The sequence below is a fragment of the Homo sapiens genome, chromosome 1, assembly GCF_000001405.40.
Source record: "Homo sapiens chromosome 1, GRCh38.p14 Primary Assembly".
In the NCBI taxonomy this organism is placed as follows: domain Eukaryota; kingdom Metazoa; phylum Chordata; class Mammalia; order Primates; family Hominidae; genus Homo; species Homo sapiens.
The window spans coordinates 60,699,765-60,723,400 of record NC_000001.11 but is presented as its reverse complement, the minus strand read 5'-3'; the positions used below and the strand labels follow the sequence as shown (position 1 = coordinate 60,723,400).

General features: G+C 38.5%; 1 long non-coding RNA gene across 1 annotated transcript in view, besides 1 other annotated feature; it reads left to right on the top strand.

Annotated features, from left to right (window-relative positions):
• Positions 1-23,636, top strand: part of LOC101926964 (uncharacterized) — a 165,954-nt gene that overhangs the window by 102,184 nt on the left and 40,134 nt on the right. The window lies entirely within an intron of this gene.
• Positions 1,807-2,307: an enhancer, noted in NCBI's record as "H3K27ac hESC enhancer chr1:61186766-61187266 (GRCh37/hg19 assembly coordinates)". NCBI's record gives its function as "activates a minimal SCP1, AML or CMV promoter by ChIP-STARR-seq in naive H9 embryonic stem cells {active_cell/tissue: H9 hESC(naive)}" and the evidence as "EXISTENCE:reporter gene assay evidence [ECO:0000049][PMID:30033119]".

The following is a 23,636-nucleotide window of genomic DNA, read 5'->3' as shown; positions in this document are numbered from 1 at the left end:
GCACTATTCACAGCAACAAAGATGTGGAATCAGCCTAAGTGTCCATTGATGATAGACTGGATAAAGAAAATGTGGTACATATACATCATGAAATAGTATGCAGCCATAAAAAGAATGAGATCATGTCCTTTGCAGGAACATGGATGGAGCTGGAGGCCATTATCCTTAGCAAACTAATGCAGGAACAGAAAACCAGATACTTCATGTTCTCACTTATAAGTGGGAGCTAAATGATGAGAACACATGGACATATAGAGGGGAACAACACATACTGGGGCCTACTGGAGGATGGAGGGTGAGAGGAGAGAGAAGATCAGGAAAAATAATGGGTACTAGACTTAATACCTGGGTGATGAAATTGTCTGTATAACAAACCCCCACGAGACAAGTTTACCTGTAAAACAAACTTGCGCATGTACCCCTGAACTTAAAAGTTGAATAAAATATTTATTGATGAGCTTTAGGAAAGTTTTTAATATTTTACTATTACTCAATATATACTTTTACAAATATTGTTACTTGATGGAAACAAGCACAATGTCTTATAAAATATTGGTATCTGTTAAAAAATGAATGGACAATTCAGGTTAATAGTAATAATAACAACAATAATACATATATTATTTCTACTATGTGCATGCTACTGTGTTCCCTTCATGCTTCCCTTCACTTGCCAATGTTTCCTTCTTTCCTTGCAAAGAACGTAAAAAGCCTCTTATTAATCAGTTATCACTAGGTAAGTATCATTGTATCAGTTTGTTCTCACATTGCTCTAAAAAACTGCCTGAGACTGGGTAATTTATAAAGAAAAGAGGTTTAATTAACTCATAGTTCTGCAGGCTGTACAGAAGGCATGGTTAGGGAGGCTTCAGGAAACTTACAATCATTGTGGAAGGTGAAGGGGAAGGAAGGAAGTCTCCACTTGGCCAACAGGGGAGAAAGACAGAGAAGTAAAAGACACACTTTTAAACAAACAGATATTGGGAGAACTCTATCACAAGAACAACAAGGGGGAAGTCTACCCCCATGATTCAATCGCCTCCCACCAGGCCCCTCCTCCAACACTGGGAATTACAATTTGACATGAGATTTGGTTGGGGACACAGAGCCAAACCATAGTATTCCACCCCTGGCACCTCCCAAATCTCATGTTCTCACATTTCAAAAGACAATCATGCCTTCCCAAGAGTCCCCCGAAGTTTTAACTCATTCCAGTATTAACTGAAAAGACCAAGTCCAAAGTCTCATCTGAGACAAGGCAAGTCCCTTCTGCCTATGAGCCTGTAAAACCAAAAACAAGTTAGTTACTTCAAAGATACAATGGGTGTATTGGCATTGGGTAAATGGTCCTGTTACAAAAGGGAGAAATCAGCCAAAACAAAGGGGCTATAGGCCCTATGCAAGTTTAAAACCTAGCAGGGCAGTCATTAAATCTTAAAGCTCCAAACAATCTCCTTTGACTCCATGTCTCACATCTAGGCCACACTGATGCAAAGGGTGAACTCCTAAGGCCTTGGGCAGCTCCATCCCTGTGACTTGGCAGGGTACAGCACCCTAAGCTGGTTTCACAGGCTGGCATTGAGTGCCTGTGGCTTTTCCAAGTGCATGGTGCAAACTGTTGGTGGAGCTACCATTTGGGGTCCTGGAGGATGATGGCCCTCTTCTCACAGCTCCCCTAGGCAGTGCCCCAGTTGGGACCCTTTGTGGGGCCTCCAACCCCAGATTTCCTTTCCATGCTGCCCTAGAAGAGGCTCTCTTTGAGGGCTCCACTCCTGCAGCTCAGGTCAACTTCTGCCTGGACATCCAGACGTTTCCATACATCCTCTGAAATCTAGCAGAGGCTCCCAAGCCTCAACTCTTGCCCTCTGTGCACCCATAGGCTTAACACCAAGTGGAAACCTTGGCAGCTTCTGGCTTGCACCCTCTGGAGCAGTGGCCTGAGATGTATCTGGGGCTTTTTTAGCCATGGCTGGAGCTGGACCAGCTGGGATGCAGGGAACAATGTTCTGAGGTTGTGCAGGGCAGTGGGGACCTGGGCCCAGCCCACAAAACCATTTTTCCCCTCCCAGGCCTTTGGGCCTGTGATGGGAGTTGCTGCTGTGAAGGTATCTGAAATGCCTTGGAGGCATTTTCCCCATTGTCTTGATTATTAACATTTGGTTTCTCTGTACTTATCCACATTTATGCAGCAGGCTTGAATTCCACTCCAGAAAAATGATTTTTCTTTTCTACTACATGGTCAGGCTGCAAATTTTCCAAAATTTATGCTCTGCTTCCCTTTTAAATATAAGTTACAGTTTCAGGTCATTTCTTTGTTAATGCAAATGAACATAGGCTTTTAGAAGCAGTCGTGCCACAAGTTGAACACTTAGCTGCTTAGAAATTTCTTCTGCCAGACACCCTAAATTGTCTCTCTCAAGTTCAAATTCCACAGATCTCTACAGCAGGGGCACAATGCCACCAGTCTCTTTGCTAAAGCATAACAAGAGTGCCCTTTCAGTTTCCACTAAGTTCTTCATCTCCCTCTGAGACATCCTCAGCCTGGACTTCACTGTCCATATTACTATCAGCATTTTGGTTACAACCATTCAACAACAGTCTCTAGGAAGTTCCAAACTTTCTCCCTTCTTCCTGTTTTCTTCTGAGCCCTTCAGAGTGTTTCAACCTCTGCCCAGTTCTGAAGTCACTTCCACATTTTCAGGTGTCTTTATAGTAATGCTCCACTTCGTTGGTCCCAATTTTCTGTATTAGTTCATTCTCACACTGCTATAAAGATCTACCTGAGACTGGGTAATTTATGAAGAAAAGAGGTTTAACTGACTCATAGTTTCTGCAGGCTGTACAGGAGGCATGGCTGGGGAGACCTCAGGAAACTTACAATTATGGTGGAAGGTGAAGAGGAAGCAAGCACATCTTCACATGGATGACAGCAGAGAGAGAGAGAGAGAGAGTAGGGGGGTTAATACACACTTAAACAAACAGATCTTGGAGGAACTCTATCACAAGAACAGCAAGGGGGAAGTCTGCCCCCATGATTCAGTCACCTCCCGCCAAGCCCCTCCTCCAACACTGGGAATTACAATTCGACATGAGATTTTGGTGGAGACACAGAAGCATTATCATCAATTTGGTAAAAATCTATAGAAACATATAAACAAAAATATAAGTCACTCACATCTTAAAGACAATAATGAAGTATCAAATAAGGAGACTTAGGCTTACAGAAATGAAGTGACTTTCTCATAGTCATTCAGTTGATAAACAAGCCTTGTGCCTTGATTTCAGTTCCATAAAGGTTGGATGGCATATATATTTTAAAGAGGAGCAAATGGATAATTTAGATGTTAGTTAAGGAGAAATAGACAATGATGGAAAAATGTTCAAAAGACTTACAAAAGTTGGTGAAAACTTATAGAAATGTCATGAAAGCCTTAGTAAGGCATAAATAAAAACTTTAAGTGACATTAACCTGTCTGTAAAGCTATGTTTCAGTGGACAAAGGAGCCCTTTTTAGTTCAGAGGAGATTTAGTTAAGTGGGCCCTCCTGGTTAAGGAAATAAAAAAACCAAGTAAATATGCATCTATGATTCTAGAAGAAGAGTGTAGCTGGATTTGTGTACATTGGGCGCATGTGTGTGATTTTTCAAAGGCTGTGCTCCTTAGTCTTTGATACATGGAGTGGTGGTGATAGAGGAGTTTGCCTTCTGAGATAGAGAAATAGATATCCAAACATCTACTTCCTATGATGTGAAGTTAGGGAACCTCGCTGAGTGGATTGGATTGGAGCAAGATGTGCTGGCAAGAAAGGGCCCCCCAAAAACCCAATGACCCCAAAGAGTAATTCATTTGGAGGGAAGAGAAATCTGATGACTTCTAGGTTTATATCTCCAGCCGGTATCTCTTTCCTAACGCCCAGACTTGTATATCCCACCTAGTATCTCCATTAACTAGGTCCAAAAAAAATCTCTTGATTCTCCCTGCTGAAATATTCCACTGGTTTCCCATCTTGCCCAGAGTAAATATCTAAGTCTTTATGTGGCTTCCAAGGCCCTTTGTGATCTTAGCCTCTGCTTACCTCTCACTCCTTATCTCTCCTGTTCTCTACTTGGTTCTCTCTACTTCACCCACACTGGCATCCTAGCTGTTTCTCAGCCATGGCAGGCATACTCTGACCTCAGGGCTTTTACATCTGCTGTCTTCTCTGCCTCAACTGCTCTATCTCCAGATATTTACAATGCTTGTCTCCTTGCTACATTTAGATGTCAGATGATACCTCATCAGCAAGGCCTTCCATAAACCGCCCACCTAGAATAGCCGGGACTCCCTTATTCTCCCACTCATTCCCCTGCTTAATACTTTACCTCTGTATTTTATTTTATTTTTTTCTTGTGCCTATAACGATCTGACATATTTTATATATGTAATTTATTGGGCTGGTGGTGGACCAGTATCTGTCAGATCTTACAGGCCCAGCCTTCAATAGTGGCATGAGAGGCAACATTAGCAGAGAGCTGACTTTAGACCCTCTAATTTCCTCTGGGGCTGGCATTTGTAGTCAGGACTGAGTAAGCCCCAGAGGTCTCGGACAATTCTAGGTGGTGTGTTTTTTTATTCATTGCATGTTTTGCAATAAGGTAATATATTCACACGGTCTAAAATGCAAAAGTAGCAAAAGATATCTGGTAAGGAGTCTCCCACTCACCCCTGCTCCTAGTCACCCAGAATCCCTCCTGTGATGTGATCAGTTTCTTGTGTAGCCTTCTAGAGGTATTCTATGCACGTATAAGCAAATACATATACAGACATATATTTTTTCTCTTTTTTGCACAAAGTATAGAATATTATATGTATAGTACAGTGTCTTGCTTGTGGATTTGTTTTATAAATAAAAGGCCGTGTAAAGTGCAGAATTTGTGTATGGTGTGATGACGTTTTACTCAAGTATATACCCATGTGATCACCACCTGGATTAAGATATATATTTCCTGCACCCCCATGTCTCCCTTGTGCCTCTTCCTATTCTCTCCAGAGATAATTGCTATTCTCACTTTTATCACTATCTTTTAGTTTCTCCTGGTCTTGAATGCCATGTAAGAGGAGTCCTATATTATGTGCTATTGTGTTTCTGTTTCAATCAAAGCTATGTACTTTTTAATAGAAAATTATATCTTGATGATTGTACCTCATAAGGATAAAGGACATACAGAACTTTGTCCTCCTCTTTTATGACAAAGAATACACCATGCTTTATTTAACCACTCCCTCCTGATGTAGATGGGACTTGCGAGAAATCATGCACAAGCACACGTGCAAGTATATCTGTTGACGGAATACAAGAAAGTGGAATTGGTAGGTCATAGGCTATGTACCTGTATAATTTTGATAGGTGTTTCATTTAGCACTTGTAGCAAAGTACTATCAACAATATACAAGAATGCCTTTTTCCCACACCTTTGCCATCTGAGTATGTTTTCAAACTTTGGATCATTGCCAGTTTTTTGTTTTTGTTTTTGATTTTTTTTTTTTTTTGAGATGGAGTCTGGTTCTGTCGCTCAGGCTGGAGTGCAGTGGCGCGCCATCTCTGCTCACTGCAAGCTCCGAGTAGCTGGGACTACAGGGGCCCGCCACCGTGCCTGGCTAGATTTTTGTATTTTTAGTAGAGACGGGGTTTCACTGTGTTAGCCAGGATGGTCTCGATCTCCTGACCTCGTGATCCGCCCGCCTCGGCCTCCCAAAGTACTGGGATTACAGGCGTGATGAGCTACCGCGCCCGGCCCCATTGCCAGTTTTTAAAAGCAAAGTGGCATCTCAGTATATTTTCTCATTATGAGTGAGACCTAACATCATTTCTTATTTTAAAGACCCATTTGTATTTTTCTGTAGACTATGTACATATAACTTAACTTTTTTCAAATTGGTTAGTGATATTTTCTCTCACTGGTTTCTAAGCACAATTTATGTATTAGGAAAATTATCCCTCTGATGTGATATGAATTACAAACATATCTTTCAAATATTTTGTCTTTGGACTATTTTTAGGCCATTTATGAATGGCTAAAATGTTTTATTTTTTAAATGTTTTATTTTTATGTGGTCACGCATCAACTTATTTAAAGTTTTAGGATTTTGTGTTATTCTTTGAAAGCCCTTCCCTACTCATAGATTGTTTAAATAAATCACATTGTTTTCTTCTAGCCTTTTTATAGTTTCCTTTTAAATTATTAATAGTTTCGATAATTCTATAATTCATTTTGGTGTAAGGTATGAAGTAGTGATCCCTATTTTTTTCCCAAATTGAATCTATCAACACTAACTCTGTTTATCCATGAATCCATTTTTTTCCCAACTGAAATGCCACTTATCATAGTAAATTCCTCATGCTTTTGGGTTTATTTCATAATTTGGCATTGTTCTATTTATATGTGTACCAGTTTAAATTACTATAGATTTAACATATTTTAATATTGGCTTTTAAGTAGAAATGTGTTAATATGGAACTACTGTTTTTCCTTGTAATAATGGTAGCAGACTTCATAGCAATTAATTATAATAATAAAAGAGATGTGACTATATTTGGAGCTCAAATGTAGGCAGCAGAATACAGTGGCTAGAGAAGAATAAAATGTAGCAACAAGAGGGATTTTAAACTAAGATCCCAAAGTACATTCTTATCATCCGCCTCCTCTCTTCTCCCTCCCCGCCAACCCCCCCGTCTCCACTCAGCAGATTTACTGCTTGGAGCAGACTGAACAGTTTGCCCAGTGGCATGGTGAATGGTGACATGAAAGTGATAGGTTAGAGCTTGAATATGGAAGGTCTCCATTTACCTCCAGTCTTTAAGAAGTGACAATGCAAATAATAGATTTTATAATTGTACATTCTTAATGATTTCAATTTTTATTTCATTTTAATTTATGATTAAAAATTAATTTATTGAATAAATATTTGTCGATTACACCCCATTTAGAATGATGAAAATCCAAAACACTGACAAACCGAATGCTATCAAGGATGTGGAGCAACAGGAACTCTTATTCAATGCAAAATGATAGAGCCACTTTGGAAGACAGCTTGGCAATTTCTTAAAAAACTAAACAGACTCTCATCATATGTTCCAGCAATTGTATTCCTTGGTATTTATCCAAAGGAGATGAAAACTTATGTCCACACAAAAACCTGCATGTGGATGTTTATGGCAGTTTTATTCATATTGCCAAGACTTGGAAGGAACAAAGTTGTCCTTCAGTGGGTGAATGAATAAATAAACTGTGGTACATCTTGACAATGGGATATTATTCAGCACTAAAAGGAAATGAGCTATCAAGCCATGAAAAGACATGAAGGAACCTTAAATGCATACTACTAAATGAAAGTAGCCCAGTCTGAAAAAACTACTTACTGTATGATTCCAAATATATGGCAGTCTGGAAAAGCCAAAACTATGAAGACAGTAAAAGGATCAGTGGTTGCTAGGGGTTGTGGGGAGGGAGGGATGAATCTGCAGAGCAGAGAGGATTTTAAGGGCAGTGAAAATACTCTGATACTATAAAGGTGGTGACATGTCATTATACATTTGTCCAAACCCATAGAATGTACAACACCAAGAGTGAACCCTAATGTAAGCTATGGTCTTTGGATGATGATGTGTTAGTGTAAGTTCATTGATTGGAACAAATGTGCCTTTCTGATATGGTATATTGATAGTGGGAGAGGCTATGCACTTGTTGGGGAAGGGGATACATAAGAACTCTCTGCACTTTCCACTCAATTTTGTTGGATGAACCTAAAATGATTCTAGAAAATAAAGTATATTAAAAGTTCAAAAAAATAATTGAGCATCCAATATAAGTCCTGTCAATGGTAGCTGGTATTAAATGATTAACAAGACTGGTGTAGTCCCTGCCCTCATGGAGCTTGTGAATGCCAACCTAAAGGTTATGTGATGTCTGATGAGAGTCCTAAAAATACTCAGAGGGTTAGCAAGTGAGAGTGGAAAGGACTTCAGTGGCAGTCAGGTGTGGATTCAAATTCTGACTACATGCTTACAAGCCTGACTCTGGGCATATTTCTGAGACTCATTTGCTCAATTGTAGAAAGAGATAAAAGTCTTTCCCTCCTAATGTTACTGCGAGGCTTAAAGCACCTGGGGTAGCACCAGGCTCCTATTGTGCTTACTAGAGAGTGTGTTCTTTCTGGGGATTTTGAGTACCCTGCTTGGGCAAACCAAAGGGCAGCCACACTCAAGAGAGTGCTGGCCGATGCTTTCTAAATTTATAACATGTATACCTCCATTGAGAGCTTGTTTATGTTGGCAATTTCCCCTAGAATCTCTTCAGATTGCACGTGTTCTTTGCAGACAACCAGACACAGACTAAACATTCATCCTCCGCCTCTGTGCACCTTTGCTTGGGCTTCTGGTGTTTACTCTTGCCTCTTTCCTTCAGCTGAAACCTTGGCTTTGTGAGAAATTTCCCCAATGAAATGCTCTTCTTTTTAACTAAGAAAGTATATGCTTTCTTAGTTAAGAAAGTTTGACAACTGCACTTCATTATATTTATATTACATATAGTATTCCTGACATCTTCTTTTTTGTCAGCTTCCCTAAACCTGACTGGCTAATAATATTGCAGGCTGACACAAAATGGACTGTATTGCTTTGATGCACAGCTTCAAACTTTGATGTTTTTTGGGGAGGCACTGAAGGTCAGATCTGAGTATTTACTTTTGTATTAGCATGAACGGAGACTGAAATATGTAACCCAGACAGGAAATGTGTGCAATTCTCTGACACTCGGGATGGATCCTATTCCCTCCTATTTTGTTCGCATAGTGCCTGGTGTTTGCTCCCGGAGAGGAAGTGATTACATTCTGTGGGCTCTAGAATCTCAATTCTTATTTCAGAGCCAAGGACCACCATAAAGGTGCTCTGGGTCTGTTAAGTTGCTTATCTGCCCTGTGCCCCTGTATTCTCATCTGTAAAATGGGTTTAATAATAGAACTTATAGTACTTCATATGGCTGACGTGAGGATTGAATGAATTAATGCATAAGATACTAAGGTTGTTTCTATACTTTGACTATTGTAAATAATGCTGCAATGAACATGGGAGTGCAGATCTTTCTTCAAGGTACTGATTTTGATTCATTTGGATAAATATCCAGAAGTGGAAATACTGGATCATACGGTAATTTGATTTTTAATTTATTGAGGAACCTCCATATTGTTTTTCATAATGGCTGTACTAATTTACATTTTTATCCACAGTGTACAAATGTTCCCTTTTCTTCACACCCTTGACAACTCTTATTGATAAGAGACATCCTAACAGATGTGAGGTAATATCTCAACATGGCTTTGATTTGCATTTCCCTGATGATTAGCGATGTTGAGTACCTTTTCTTATATCTATTGGCCATTTGCATTGATATATATTGGCCATCATCTATTGGTCAATATGCGTTATATGTATTTCTTCTTTGGAAAAATGTCTCTTGAAGTCCTTTCCCTATTTTGAAATTGGGTGATTTGTGTTTTTGTTATGATTTGTATGAGTTCCTTATATATTTTGGGTATTAACCTTTTATCAGATATATGGTTTGCAAATGTTTTCTCCCATTCTGTAGGTTGCCCCTTCATTTTTTTTAAAACTATTTTTAGTTACTATGGGTACTTAATAGGTATATATATTTATGGTGTACATGTGTTTTGATATAGGCATGCAATTTATAATAATCACATCAGGGTAATTGGGGTATCCATCACCTCAAGCATGTATCATTCATTTCTTTGTGTTAGAAACATTACAATTCCATGCTTCTAGTTATTTTGAAATAGACAAGAAATTATTATTGACTGTAGTTACCCTTTGTGTTATCAAATATTAACTTATTCATACCATCTAACTATATTTTTGTACCCATTGACTATCCCCACTTTTCTACCCTTCCCTGGTACCGTTCTCTGCCTCTGGTAACCATCATTATATTCTCTATCACCATGAATCCAATTATTTTATTTTTTAGCTTCCATATATAAGTGAGGACATGCGAAATTTGTCTTTCTCTGCCTGGCTTATTTCACTTAATATCTTCCAGTTCCATCCATGTTGTTGCAAATGACAGGATTTCATTCTTTTTATTGCTAAATAATATTCCATTGTGTATATGTACCACATTGTTTTAATCCATTTATCTGTTGCTGGACACTTACATTAATTCCAAGTCTTGGCTATTGTGAGTAATGCAGCAATAAAGAAGAAAGTGCAGATAATTTTTCAACACAATGATTTCCATTCTTTTGGATAGATACCTAGCAGTGGGATTGCTGGATCATGTGGTAGTTCTATCGTTAGTTTTTGAGGAACCTCCATACTGTTCTTCATAGTGGTTGCCCTAATTTGCATTCCCACCAACCGTGTACAAGGGTTGCCCTCATATGCTCTCCAGCATTCATTATTGCCTGACTTTTGGGTAAAAGCCATTTTAACTGGGGTGAGATGATATTTCATTGTGGTTTTGATTTGCATTTTTCTGGTTATTAATGATGTTGAGCCTTTTTCGTATACCTGTTAACCATTTGAAACTCTTCTTTTGTAAAATGTCTATTCAGATTTTTTGCCTATTTTAAAATCAGATTATTTGATTTTTTTCCTATTGAGTTATTTGAGCTCCTTGTATATTCTGGTTATTAATCCCTTGTCAGATGAGTAGTTTGCAAATATTTTCTCACATACCATGGGTTTTCTCTTCATTTTGTTGGTTGTTTCCTTTGCTGTGCAGAAGCTTTTTAACTTGATGTGACCCCATTTGTCCATTTTTTTTGGTTGCCTGTGCCTGTGGGGTATTACTCAAGATGATTTTGCCCACTCCAAGTCCTAGAGAGTTTCCCTGATATTTTATTTCAGTAGTTTTCGATTTAAGTCTTTAATCCATTTTGATTTTATTTTTGTATGTGCGAGAGATAGGGGTCAAGTTTCATTCTTCTGCGTATGGATATCCAGCTTTCTCAGCACCATTTATTGAAGAGACTACTTTTCCCAATGTATTATAGTTTCTTGGTACCTTTGTTGAAAATGAGTTCATTGTAGATGTGTGGATTTAGTTCTGGGTTCTCTATTCTGTTCCATTGATCTATGTGTCTGCTTTTATGCCAGTACCATACTATTTTGGTTGCCATGGCTTTGTAATATAATTTGAAGTCAGGTAATGTAATTCCTCCAGTTTTGTTCTTTTTGCTAAGGTTAGCTTTGGCTGTTCTAGGTCTTTTGTGGTTCCACATAAATCTTAGGATTTTTTTTTTCTATTTCTGTGAGGAATGTCATTGGTATTTTGACAGGAATTGCATCTAACCCATAGATTGCTTTGAATAGTATGAACATTTTAACAATATTGATTCTTCTAATCCATGTAAATGGAATATCTTTTCATGTTTTTGTGTCCTCTTAAATTTCTTGCATCAATGTTTTATAGTTTTCATTATCAATATCTTTCACTTCTTTGGTCAAGTTAGTTCCTAGATATTTTATTTTATTTGTAGCTATTTAGCTATTGTAAATGGGATTATTTCATGATTTCTTTTTCAAATTGTTTGCTGCTGGCATATAGTAATGCTACTGATTTTTGTATGCTGATTTTGTATCCTGCAACTTTAATGAATTTATTTACCAGTTCTAATAGATTTTTGATATAATCTTTAGGTTTCTATAAATATAAGATTATATTGTCTGCAAACAAGGATAATTTGACTTCTTCCATTCCAATTTGTATGCCCTTTTTAAATTTTTCTTGTCTAATAGCTCTAGCTAGGACTTCCAGTACTATGTTGAATAACAGTGGTCAAAATGGGCATCCTTGTCTTGTTTCGGGTCTTAGAGGAAAGGCTTTCAGTTTTTCCCCATTCAGTAGGATACTAGCTGTGAGTCTGTTGTATACAGTTGTTTTCATGTTGAGGTATGTTCCTTCTATATCCAGTTTTTGTTTTATTCCTCATAGAGGAATGTTGAATTTTGTTGAATGCTTTTTCATCATCAACTAAAATGATCATATGATTTTTGCTCTTCATTCTGTTCCTATGAAATATCAAGGTATCACATTGGTTAATTTGCATATGTTAAACCATCCTTACACCCTGAAATAATTTCACTTCATCATGCTGAATAATCATTTCAATGTGTTTTTGAATTGAGTTTGCTAGTACTTTCTTAAGGATTTTTGCATCTAAGTTAATCAGAGATATTGGCTTGGAGTTTTTTGGTTGTTGTTGTGTCTGTCTGATTTTGCTATCAGGGTAATACTTGCCTCTTCAAATGAATTTGGGAGTATTCTCTCCTCCTCAATTTTTTGATATAGTTTGAATAGAATTGGATTAGTTCTTTAAATGTTTGGTAGATTTCAGTAGTGAAGTCATTGGGTCCTGAGCTTTGATGGGAGATTTTTTATTATAGCGTCTATCTTGTTACCTGTTACTGGGCATTTATGTTTTGGATTTCTTCATGGTTAAATCTTGGTAGGTGATATGTGTCTAGGAATTTATGTGTTTCTTCTAGGCTTTCCAATTTATTGGCATATAGTTGTTCATAGTAGTCTCTAATGATCCTCTGAATTTCTGTGATATCAGTTGTCTCCTTTTTCACCCCTGATTTTATTTATTTAAATCTTCTCTTTTTCTCTTAGTCTGGCTAAAGGTTTGTCAATTTTGTTTATCTTTTTTAAAAAACAACTTTTCATTTCATTGATCTTTTGTATTTTTGGGGAGGTTAATCACATTTATCTCTCTCTGATTTTATTATGTCTTTTCTTCTACGAATTTTGGGTTTGGTTTGCTCTTGCTTTTCTAGTTCTCTAAGATGTATCCTTAGGTTATTTATTTGAAGCTTTTCTTCTTTTTTGGCATAGGCACTTATAGCTATAAATTTCCCTCTTAGTGCTGCTTTCATTATATCCTGTTGGTTTTGGTATGTTGTGTTTCCATTATCATTTGTTTTAATACATTTTCTGTTTCCTTCTTAATTTCTTCATTGGCCCACTGGTCATTCAGGAGCATGTTGTTTAATTTCCATGTGTTTGTATAGTTTCCAAAATTCCTCTTGTTATTGATTTCCAGTTTTGTTCCATTGTAGTCACAGAAGACACTTGATATTATTTCTTTTATTTTTTTTAATTTAAGACTTGTTTTGTGGCCTAACATATGGTCTGTGCTTGAAAGTGATCAATGTGCTGAGCAGAAGAATATGTGTTCTGCAGATGTTGGATATTCTGAAAATATCTATTACGTCCATTGGGTCTATAGCACAGATTAAGTCTGATGTTTCTTTGTTGATTTTCTATTTGGATGATATTTGTCCAATGCTGAAAGGAGGATATTGAGGTCCCCAACTATTATTGTATTGGGGCCTATCTCTTTCCTTAACTCTCATAATATTTGCTTTATATATCTGGGTGCTCCAGTGTTGGGTACACATATACTAACAATTGTTATATCCTCTTTCTGAATTGACCCTTTTATTATTATGTAATAATGTTTTCTGTCTCTTTTCATACTTTTTGTCTTGAAGTCCATTTTATTTGATATAAGTGTAGTTACTTCTGCTCTTTTTTGGTTTCCATTCACATGGAATATCTTTTCCCATTACTTTATTTTCAGTCTGTGTATGTTTTTATAGGTAAAATGAATTTCTTGTAGGTAGCATATAGTTGGGTCTTATTTTTTTAATCCATTTAGCCACTCTTTGTCTTTTGATTAAAGAGTTTAGCCCATTTACATTCAATTTTATTATTGATAGGCAAGAATTTGTTACTACCATTTTGTTTTTTTTTCTGATTGTCCTCCCCTCCCCTCCCCTCCCCTTCCCTTTCCTTCCCTTCCCTTCCTTCTTTCCTTTCTTCCTTCCTTTCTCTTTCCTTTCATCTTTCTTTGGGTAAAAGTGTCTTTCTCTGTTAGTATGTTTTAATTTCTTGCTTTTTATTTTTTGTTTATCTGCTGTAGGCTTTTTGCTTTGAGATTACCATGAGACTTGCAAATAATATGTTATAACAAATTATTTTAAACTGAGGAAAACTTAACTCTGATCATAAAAACAAGGAAAGAGGAAACTATTTAAAAACTTCTACACTTTGACCCCATCCCCTCACTTTAAATTTTTGTTGTTTCTATTTGTATCTTTTTATACTATCTATCTCTTAAAAGTTGTAGTTATTGTTTTTGATAGGGTTGTCTTTTAGTCTTCTTAATCAGGATATGAGTGGTTAGCATACCACAATTACAGTGTTAGCATATTCTGAATTTGTCTGTGTACTTCCTGTTACCAGTGAGTTTTTTAACTTAAGATGATTTATTTTTTTTGAGACGGAGTCTCACTCTGCCTCGCCCAGGCTGGAGTGCAGTGGCGCGATCTCTGCTCACTGCAAGCTCCACCTCCCGGATTCACGCCGTTCTCCTGCCTCAGCCTCCCGAGTAGCTGGAACTGCTGGGACTACAGGTGCCACCACCACGCCCGGCTAATTTTTTTTTTTTTGTATTTTTAGTAGAGACCAGGTTTCACCATGTTAGCTAGAATGGTCTCAATCTCCTGACCTTGTGATCCACCCGCCTCGGCCTCCCAAAGTGCTGGGATTACAGGCGTGAGCCACTGCGCCCGGCCACCTTCAGATGATTTTTTATTGCCCATTAATGTCCTTTTCTTTCAGACTGAAGAACTTCCTTTAACATTTCCTGAAAGACAGTTCTAGAGTTGATGAAATCCCTTAGCTTTTGTTTGTCTGGGAAAGTCTTTCTTTCTCCTTCATGTTTGAAGAATATTTTTTGTGGACATAATATTCTAGGATAAAAGTTTTTCATTCAGCAATTTGAATATGTCATGCAACTCTCTCCTAGCCTGTAAAGTTGCCACTGAGAAGTCTGCTGCCAGATGTGTTGGAGCTTCTTTATATATTACATGTTTCTTTCCTCTTTTAGAATGCTTTTAGAATCCTTTCTTTATCTTTGATCTTTGGGAGTTCAGTTAAGTACCTTGAGGCAGTCTTATTTCGCTTAAATCTACTTGATGTTCTATGACTGACCTTCTTATAGCTGAATGTTGATTATCTTTCTCTAGGTTTGGAAAGTTCTCTGTTATTACTTCCTTGAATAAACTTTCTACCCTGATCTCTTGCTCTACCTCTTCTTTAAGGCCAATAACTCTTAGATCTGCCCTTTTGAAGCTGTTTTCTAGATCTCGTAGGTAGGTGCTTTGTGCTTACGATGCAAGCACAAAGGTGTGCTTCATCCTTTTTTATTCTTTTTTCTTCTTTGACTGTGTGTTTTCACAGAGACTGTCTTCAAGCTCACTAATTATTTCTTCCACTTGATCAATTCTGCTGTTGAGAGACTCTGATGCAGTTTTTCAGTTTGTCAGTTGTTTTCAGTTCCAGAATTTCTTTTTGATTTAAAACAATTTTAATCTCTTTGTTAAATTTCTCTGATAGGTTTCTGAACTCTTTTTCTACATTATCTCGAAGTTCATTGAGCTACCTCAAAACAGCTGTTTTAAATTCTCTGTCTGAAAGTTCATATATTTTTGTCACTTGGGATTGGTCACTGGTTCCTTATTTAGTTTGTTTGATGAGATCATGTTTTCCTGGATGTTCTTGGTGCTTGTGGATGTTCTTCAATGTCTGGACATTGAAGAGTTAGGCATTCATTCTAATCTTCACATTCTGTGCTTGTTTGTACCCATCCTTCTTGAGAAGGCGTTTCAGGTATTCAAAGGGAATTCAGTGTTATAATCTATTATAACTCCTTGGTCACTACAGTCATGTCTACACACAGAAGTGCCACAATCCTAGCAAAGCCACAACTCTCACAGACTTGCAGAAGTACTGCTGTGGTTGGCTTGGGTAAGATCTGGGAGAATTCCCTGGATTACCAGGCAGAGTGTCTCATTTTTTTCCCTCACTTTCCCCCAAGCAGAAGGAGTCTCTCTTTGCAGAAGACTGCTTGGAAATGGGGGAGGAGTGGTGAAAGCACTCTTGTGGCCACCACAGCTGGGACTGGACTGGTTCACATCTGAAGCCAGCACATTATTGGGCCTTGCCCAAGGCTTGTGGTGGCTACTGCCTGGCTACCATGAATGATTATTCAAGGATGAAGAGATCTTTAGTCAGCAGATGGGGTATCAGGAATCAGGACCAAGACTGGGTCCTTCCCTTCAGGACAGTGGGTTCCCTTCTGACCCAGGATGAGTATACAAATGCCATCCAGGAGCTAGGGCCTGGATGCAGAGGCTTCATGAATCTGCTTGACATTTTATTTACTGTGGCTGAGCTGGTACTCAACTTTCATGACCAAGTCCTCTGTACTCTTCCCTTCCCTTTCCCCAAGTGGAAAGAGTCTCTCCCCGAGAAGCACTGCTTGGAGTTGGGGGAGGGGTGATACAAGCACTCCCTTGGCCACCACAGCTGGTGTCTCACGTGCACCCCAAGTCCACTGGCTCCAAGCCCAGCATAGCACCAGGACTTGTCCAAGGCCGTTTTGCCGTTCAAATTCATTCAGGACCCCAGGGCACTTTAGTCGGAGGAGCCCTGGGGTCTTGAACAAAGTAGTGGAGCTAGCTGGAACTGAGATTCCTACTGCTGCAATGGAGGATTTCCCTCTGGCTAGGGCTAGTCTGGCTGTTCCCTCCAAGGGCACTGGTCAAGTACTGCCCTGTGTTGTGTTCCGCTGTGACAGGGCAGCATTGAATTCCTACGCAAAGTCCCACAGTCACTTCACTTTCCCTCCCCCATGCATACAGATTCTCTCTCCAAACACTGCTGGGGGGCTGGCGAAGGTGGTGATTGCAATGCAAGAATGTCTTTCTTACCCTCTTCAGTGCCTCTTTCCCTAATATGATGTTAAAACTAGGTACTGTGATTGCTCATTTGATCTTTGGTTCTTATGAAGGTGCTTTCTTGCGTGGATAGTTATTCAATTTGGTGCTCCTGTGGGAGAGGGGCGATCACTGGAGGATTCTATTAAGCCATGTTGCTCTCCCCACTCCCTGCCTTTTAATTTTTTTGACTGTTTCACTTGCCGTGCAGAACCTTTTTAGTTTGGCGTAGTCCTACTTATTTAGTACAGAAATAGAGAAAGCAATGCTAAAATTTATGTGGAATCACAAAACACTCTGAATAGCCAAAGCCAACTTGAGAAAGAAAAACAAAGCTAGAGGCATCACATTTCCTGATTTCCAACTATATTATCAAGGTATGTTAATCAAAACAGTAGAATACTTGCTAAAAACAGACACATAGGCCAATGGAACAGAAATAAGCCTATGCATATACCATTAATTAATCTTTGACAAGGGCACCAAGAATAAATAATGGGAAAAGGATGGTCTCTTCCATAAATGGTAATCAGAAAACTGAATATCCACATGCAAAAAAAAAAAATTGGGCCCTTATCTTACATTATACACAAAAATCAACTCAAAACGGATTAAAGACTTACACGTAAGACCTGAAATTATGAAACTCCCAAAAGAAAATACAGAGAATAAGCTTATTAACATTGGTCTTGGCAATGATTTTTTTTTTGGCTTGACACCAAAAGCATAGGCAAACTATGAAGTTTTGATGGCAGAAAATGTGTCTTGTTTGTTGTTGCATTCCCAGAACCTAGCATTGGGCTTGCACATAGTATGTGTTCAATATTTGTTTTAAAATAAATTAATGGATAATATATTACTCTGTGGTTCACTGACTCAAAGATTGTGCAGGGATTGAGGTACTATGGTATGACTAGGGAGATAAATGTGACTATAGAGGTTATGCAGGTTATTACAGGGGTACCATTTACATAAACTGTACAAAGTTGTTCTGAGAGAGACATTCTTGGAAACTATGAATAAATAGTTTTTTCACATGAATAATTATTTATTCTTAAGAGTTGATTTCAATGACTAAAACCATTGAAATACTTATAAATTCATTTTTTTAAGTTATATTTTAGATAGGACTCAGAGATGTGACCTGTATGATGTATCCTTTCTTCTTCTTTTTAAAAATAATCTAAGATTTTGAAATAGGACTTAGGGGAAATGCTGGAATGGAAGGATGTGTCTAAGTGGTCTAACCGAACTGTAATCATGACACTCCTCTCTGCCTGACCTTTTCACTCCCTACACTCAGTGGTGAGATAAGATTTGTCCTAGTGACTTCAGAAAGATGAGGTTATTAGGGAGGCTGGCTGGGTAATTTACTAGATATCTGATTTTGGGAAAGTCACTTAACCTCTTTGTGTCTTGGTTTTGTCCTCAAGGGCTGTTGTGAAGTTCAAGTGAAATAATAAATATTACAATGCTTAGGGAACTGCAGAAGCTATTTGAATGTACGGTTTTACACTTATTGTTTGTGTGTGTGTGGTGGGGGAGGTGAAGTCAGGGGTTCCTTGCCTCTTCTCCCGTGTTTCTGATCTTGCCTTCAGGTGAAGTTGTGCCTCAGACTGCCTTCCCCCACTTCCAGGATTCCTCTATGTTGATAAGGGAGAAAGATTTTCTGCTCAGATGTGTCCACAATTCTGGTGGGCAGGATTACAGTTCCTTCAAGGCAAAGGACTCAGCTCTTCTTGCTGTTCCATCATGTCCTCGCAGCACCTGATCTAAACAGGTGGGCTCGTGGTCTTTTCTCTCAGTATCTTGATGGACATGTCACGTTGATTCTGCTTTGCAATTTGACCATCTTAGATAGAGTCAGAAGAAGTGGGAAGCCCATCTTACATCTATCAGCCTCAGGCATATGTGTCATCCCAGCATATTAAAGAAACTCTGAATTGGACAATCACTTCCTTGGTTTCTTTTCTCTAATTTTTCTTTATGTGAACAGCTTCCTTAGGATGCTAGAGGGGAGAAGGGCCAAGTGTTAAGTTTAAGAAACACAATCCTGTATCATCCTTAAAGTGTTACGAGAGGGTAAATTCTATGAAAGCTGAAGTTGTGGATTCTAGAATAGAGAAAGACCTGCATTGAATCCTGGCTTAACTACTCTGACTTGGAAATATGTCTTAATGTTTCTGGCCCGAGTTTCTTCATTGTGGAAAGGGAAGCACATTTGTACCTACCACATAGGGTTCTTGTGTAGATCCTCTGTGAAAATGTATTCAAAGTGCTTACTACTAGGCGTGCCTGTAGAAGTGGGTAATAAATGCTAAATAAAGTCATTTTAGTTAATTCCAAGCTTTGAAAATCATCAAAGGTTTGTGTGCAGCCACGCAGCATATTTTGATGATAGTTAAGTTGAATTAAAGACAGTTTTCTCTTAAAGCAGAACATTGAGTTGGACGTGGATTTTTAATGTTATCTTTTCCTTTTCAAAATGCGGACCATCTCTACATGTCTAACTTTATTTCCTACTGCTTTTCACCACACATATTTCTGACCTTTCCCATGAATACGTATACATACTCATGGCTCTAGTGCCTTAATAAAGCATTTTTAATGTTTGGTTTCCTCTTCTTTTTCCCTCCATTTTACTTTCTTAAAATTTTTCAGGAAGCTTTCTGAACTCCATTTCTTCTTGATTCTTTCAGTATCTATTCCTAGTATTGCAAAATTCATTATACATAGTATCTGACATAATCTGACAATTGCAAGCATGTTCAGTTGTTAACTTAGTGAGTATAGGAATCACAATTATTTCTTTTTCATTATCTGAAGGAAGACAGTGCAATGTATTGGAAACAGCCTGGGATTTGGAAATAGAAAGTAGGGATTCTTTTGATGACTTATCATTGATAATAATTAGTGTATAGCCACATTTTCTTTAGATTATATTAGGGCTTCATCTCTCTGTGTGCTGCTATGTGGTGCCTTAGAGATAAACTATCTTTTCTCTGTTAGTTTACAGATTTATAGAAATCTGTTACCCAGCATGTGTTCATTGAAGTCTCTTGTTTATAAAACTTGTTAAAGCTTAACTCTGAAACTGAAGATTTTTCCTTGTTAAAAAGATGTCTTCTTAATGTATAACCAGGTTTTATTTAGTAGAATTACTTCTCATGACATAAGGAAGCTTAGCTAGGAGTTAACAGTGAAAACTAAAGAAAGCAAAGGACAATGAATGACTTTTTTGTAGTATGTGTGCCAAAACATTCAGTACTGTGCTTTGTGGCTGAAGAGTTGTGTTACCAGAGAGAAAGATTGACATTTATGATTTGGTCTAGTGGCAAAACTTATGCACTTAAGTAGATCCATCAGTGAACTAGCCTGAAGGACTTTCCTAAGATGAGAAACTGCTGTAGAACACTCAGAAAAAACAAATGCAAGAAGCAGATCACAATCAACTTTGCACTTACATAGGCCTCTTTGAAAGTATGTGCCATTTCATTTCACATTGATTGACCCTCTACTGCTATGTGAACATGAACAGGGTTCCAGAGGTTCTTTGTGAATTGATGTATCAAAAATGGTGAGTTGTATCTTAAGCATAACTGGCTCAAGATCAAGACCATGCTTGATCCCCCTAAATTTTAACTCTAGTTAGGAGACAATTCTAGAGTTACTACTGTGAGCTTTTGGGAAATTGGAGATCAGACAGGGATGATCTTGCACTGCTGAATCTTCCCTCATTCAAAAGTACCCAGTGCTAGGCACCAATGTTTAAAGATATAATCAAAGATCAGTATGATTTCTGCCTTCATTGAATTAACACTTTAAGGCTATGTTGGTATACCTAGGAGGGCTTTCAGGGTCAGGAAAAGTTACTGGAGGAAATGGCATTTAAAATGAGGTGCAAAGGGCAAAGTGAGAATTAGCTAAGTTTGTGGGTGGAGGATCTTGGCTAGCATATACACCACTCAGAGAAGAGAGAAAGTTAAAGTGTTGGGGGATTTTCAAGTCATTTGTTATCACTGGGGTTGAGTGAGATAAAGGGGTGTGCCTAGATGAGTATCTAGTATTAGCAGGGGTTAGGTCATAGAGGATCTTGCTAGCAATTATGAGACTGGGCTTTCTAATAAGGGTAATGGAGAGTCACTGGGGAGTTTTAAATAAGGGTAGTGGTAGGAGAAAATGTTTTCTTTAGAACCACCTTTCCGATTACGATGTGAAGAATGGGTAAAGAATACAAGATAAGAGGGACTGAGACCATTTAGGAAGTTATTGCTATAAAGCTGGCAAGAAATGGAGATGGCTCCATAAACACAGTGGTATTAGGGATAGAGAAAAGTAGATGGATTCTAGATATGTTTTAGAGATTTAATGCATACAAAGCCCTATGACCTATTGAATGTAAGGAATGAGAAAGAGGTAAGACATCGAAGGTTATGCAATTGAATGATGAGGGTGTCATTAATTAAAGTAAGAGGAAATGAGCATGTTTTGCAGGAAATAAAATAAATTCAGTTTTAACATGGTCTATCCAAGCAACCTGAAACCTAGGAGATAACCACACAGAAGCCAAGGGAAGAAAGCCTTTTTAAAGGGAGGGAATAAGCAATAGTATAAATGCTACTGAGAAGTTAAGTAAAAAAGAAATAGAAGTCTACCAGAGAGATCAAGTTTTCAGTTAGAAAAAAAGGTGGAATTATCAAACAGGTTAAAGATGTGAGAAGGTGAGATCTCCATGGAAAAGGATTTCCGGTGTGGAGGTTTGTGGGGTGGGGGTAAGCAGTAAAAAGTGGGTCTGTGAGAAGTCAAGCAGCAACATTCTTATTTACAGAGTGCTTATTATGCACATTGGAAAGTGCTTGAAAGGTATTACAGCTTTGATATTTACATTATCCTATGAAATTGGTGCTCTTATAGGCTCCCCTTTTCAGGTGAGAAAACAGGTTCTGAGAGATTAAGTCAATTTACCTAAAATCATATGTGGCAGATTTGAACACAGATCTATATGGCTCAGACTCCTGCTTGTAACCACTGGTGATGCTGATATGAAGAGCACAATGAAAAGCACAATACAGAAAGTGTAAACCCATCAGGCATGGTGGCTCATGCCTGTAATCCTAGTACTTTGGGAGGCCGAGGAGGATGGATCACGAGGTCAGGAGATTGAGACCATCCTGGCTAACATGGTGAAACCCCGTCTCTACTAAAATACAAAAATTAGCTGGGCGTGGTGGTGGGCACCTGTAGTCACAGCTACTCAGGAGGCTGAGGCAGGAGAATGGCATAAACCGGGGAGGCAGAGCTTGCGGTGAGCTGAGATCGCACCACTGCACTCCAGCCTGGGCGACAGAGTGAAACTGTCTCAAAAAAAAAAAGAAAGTGTAAACCAAAAATAAAATGCTAAGACCCCCAACCATCTGAATGGACCCCTCCTCTCGACCAAGGGCATTCCAAAGTTAACCTAAAAAAGTAGTTTAGGCTGCGATGGGAAGGGGGAGCCTGAAATGCCTCATTATACCCTCAGTCCTTTTGGAATTACTGATAGAACAGATTCTTTAAGTCAGATAAGAAACATTTACAGGCTATTCTCTCTGAAGTCTGTTACCTGGAGCTTCATCTGCATTATAAAACCTTGGTCTCCACAATCCATTATTGTAACCCAGACATTCTTTGATAATGACTCTTTCAATCAATTTCCAATCAGAAAATCTTTAAATCTAGAAATCACCATTAAAGAACTTATCCATGTAACCAAACACCACCTGTTCTCCAGAAAGTATTGAAATAATAATAATAATAAAGAAAATCTTTAAATCTACCTATGACCTGCATGCCCCCACTTCAAGTTGTCCCGTCTTTCTGGACCAAACCAATGCACATCTTACATGTGTTGATTGACATCTCATGTCGCCCTAAAATGTATAAAATCAAACTGTACCCTAATCCCTTTGGGCACATGTCATCAGGACCTCTTGAGGTTGTGTCACAGGCACATCCTTAACCTTGGCAAAATAAGCCTTCTAAATTGATTGAGACTTGGCTTAGATGTTTTTTTGTTTACAATTGGCAATGATGAAGGGATTCTGAATTGAGGTGCCTCTGACCTTGACAAATCTCCTCTTGGTGCTTGGAACCAGCTTGAGCAATCTTTATTGCTCAAACCAATAGGACAATTTGCTGAGGCCTGGGAGCTCCCCCATCCAGAGAATCCCTGATGTCCCCCAATTTGGTTGTGATCTAAGGTTTATTTTGCTGTACAACTCCTTTTCTGGAGTTTTACTCTAACAAAGGACCCTAAAAGTTTGTGTCTTTGAGAATTGGATCTTGTGAATTATATCATTGGAATCCCTTGTGAGTTGCCTTCTGATTGGGTTCAACCAATGGGAGATTGGTGGGCAGGAGAGAGATGTCTCCTGTGTAGCAGTGTCCCACATCTGGTAATAGCTGCATCCCTCCGGGTAGCCTGTTCTCCTTCAGGTTGCTTGTCTTCACAGAGCTCTGGTAGAAGCTTTTCCTTCATTTGTCCCTTTAGCCATAGGGGGTAGTAATCCTTCCAGCTGTTGCTGGTCTTTTGGTTTTTCACTTGCACCTCTCTAAGTAGAGGCTTCATTCAAGTCTCCCCATTTGAACCATCTGGGAATGAATTGTGTCTCCTGCTGTGCTCCTGAGTAATAGAGACAGTAGCCAAGGGGTAATAGGGACATGAGGACTGAAAGATTTAACTGACAGCAAAGCCTATACACTACATCACCATAAATAATCATGATGAGAGTTATAACACTCACAATTGTTGGCA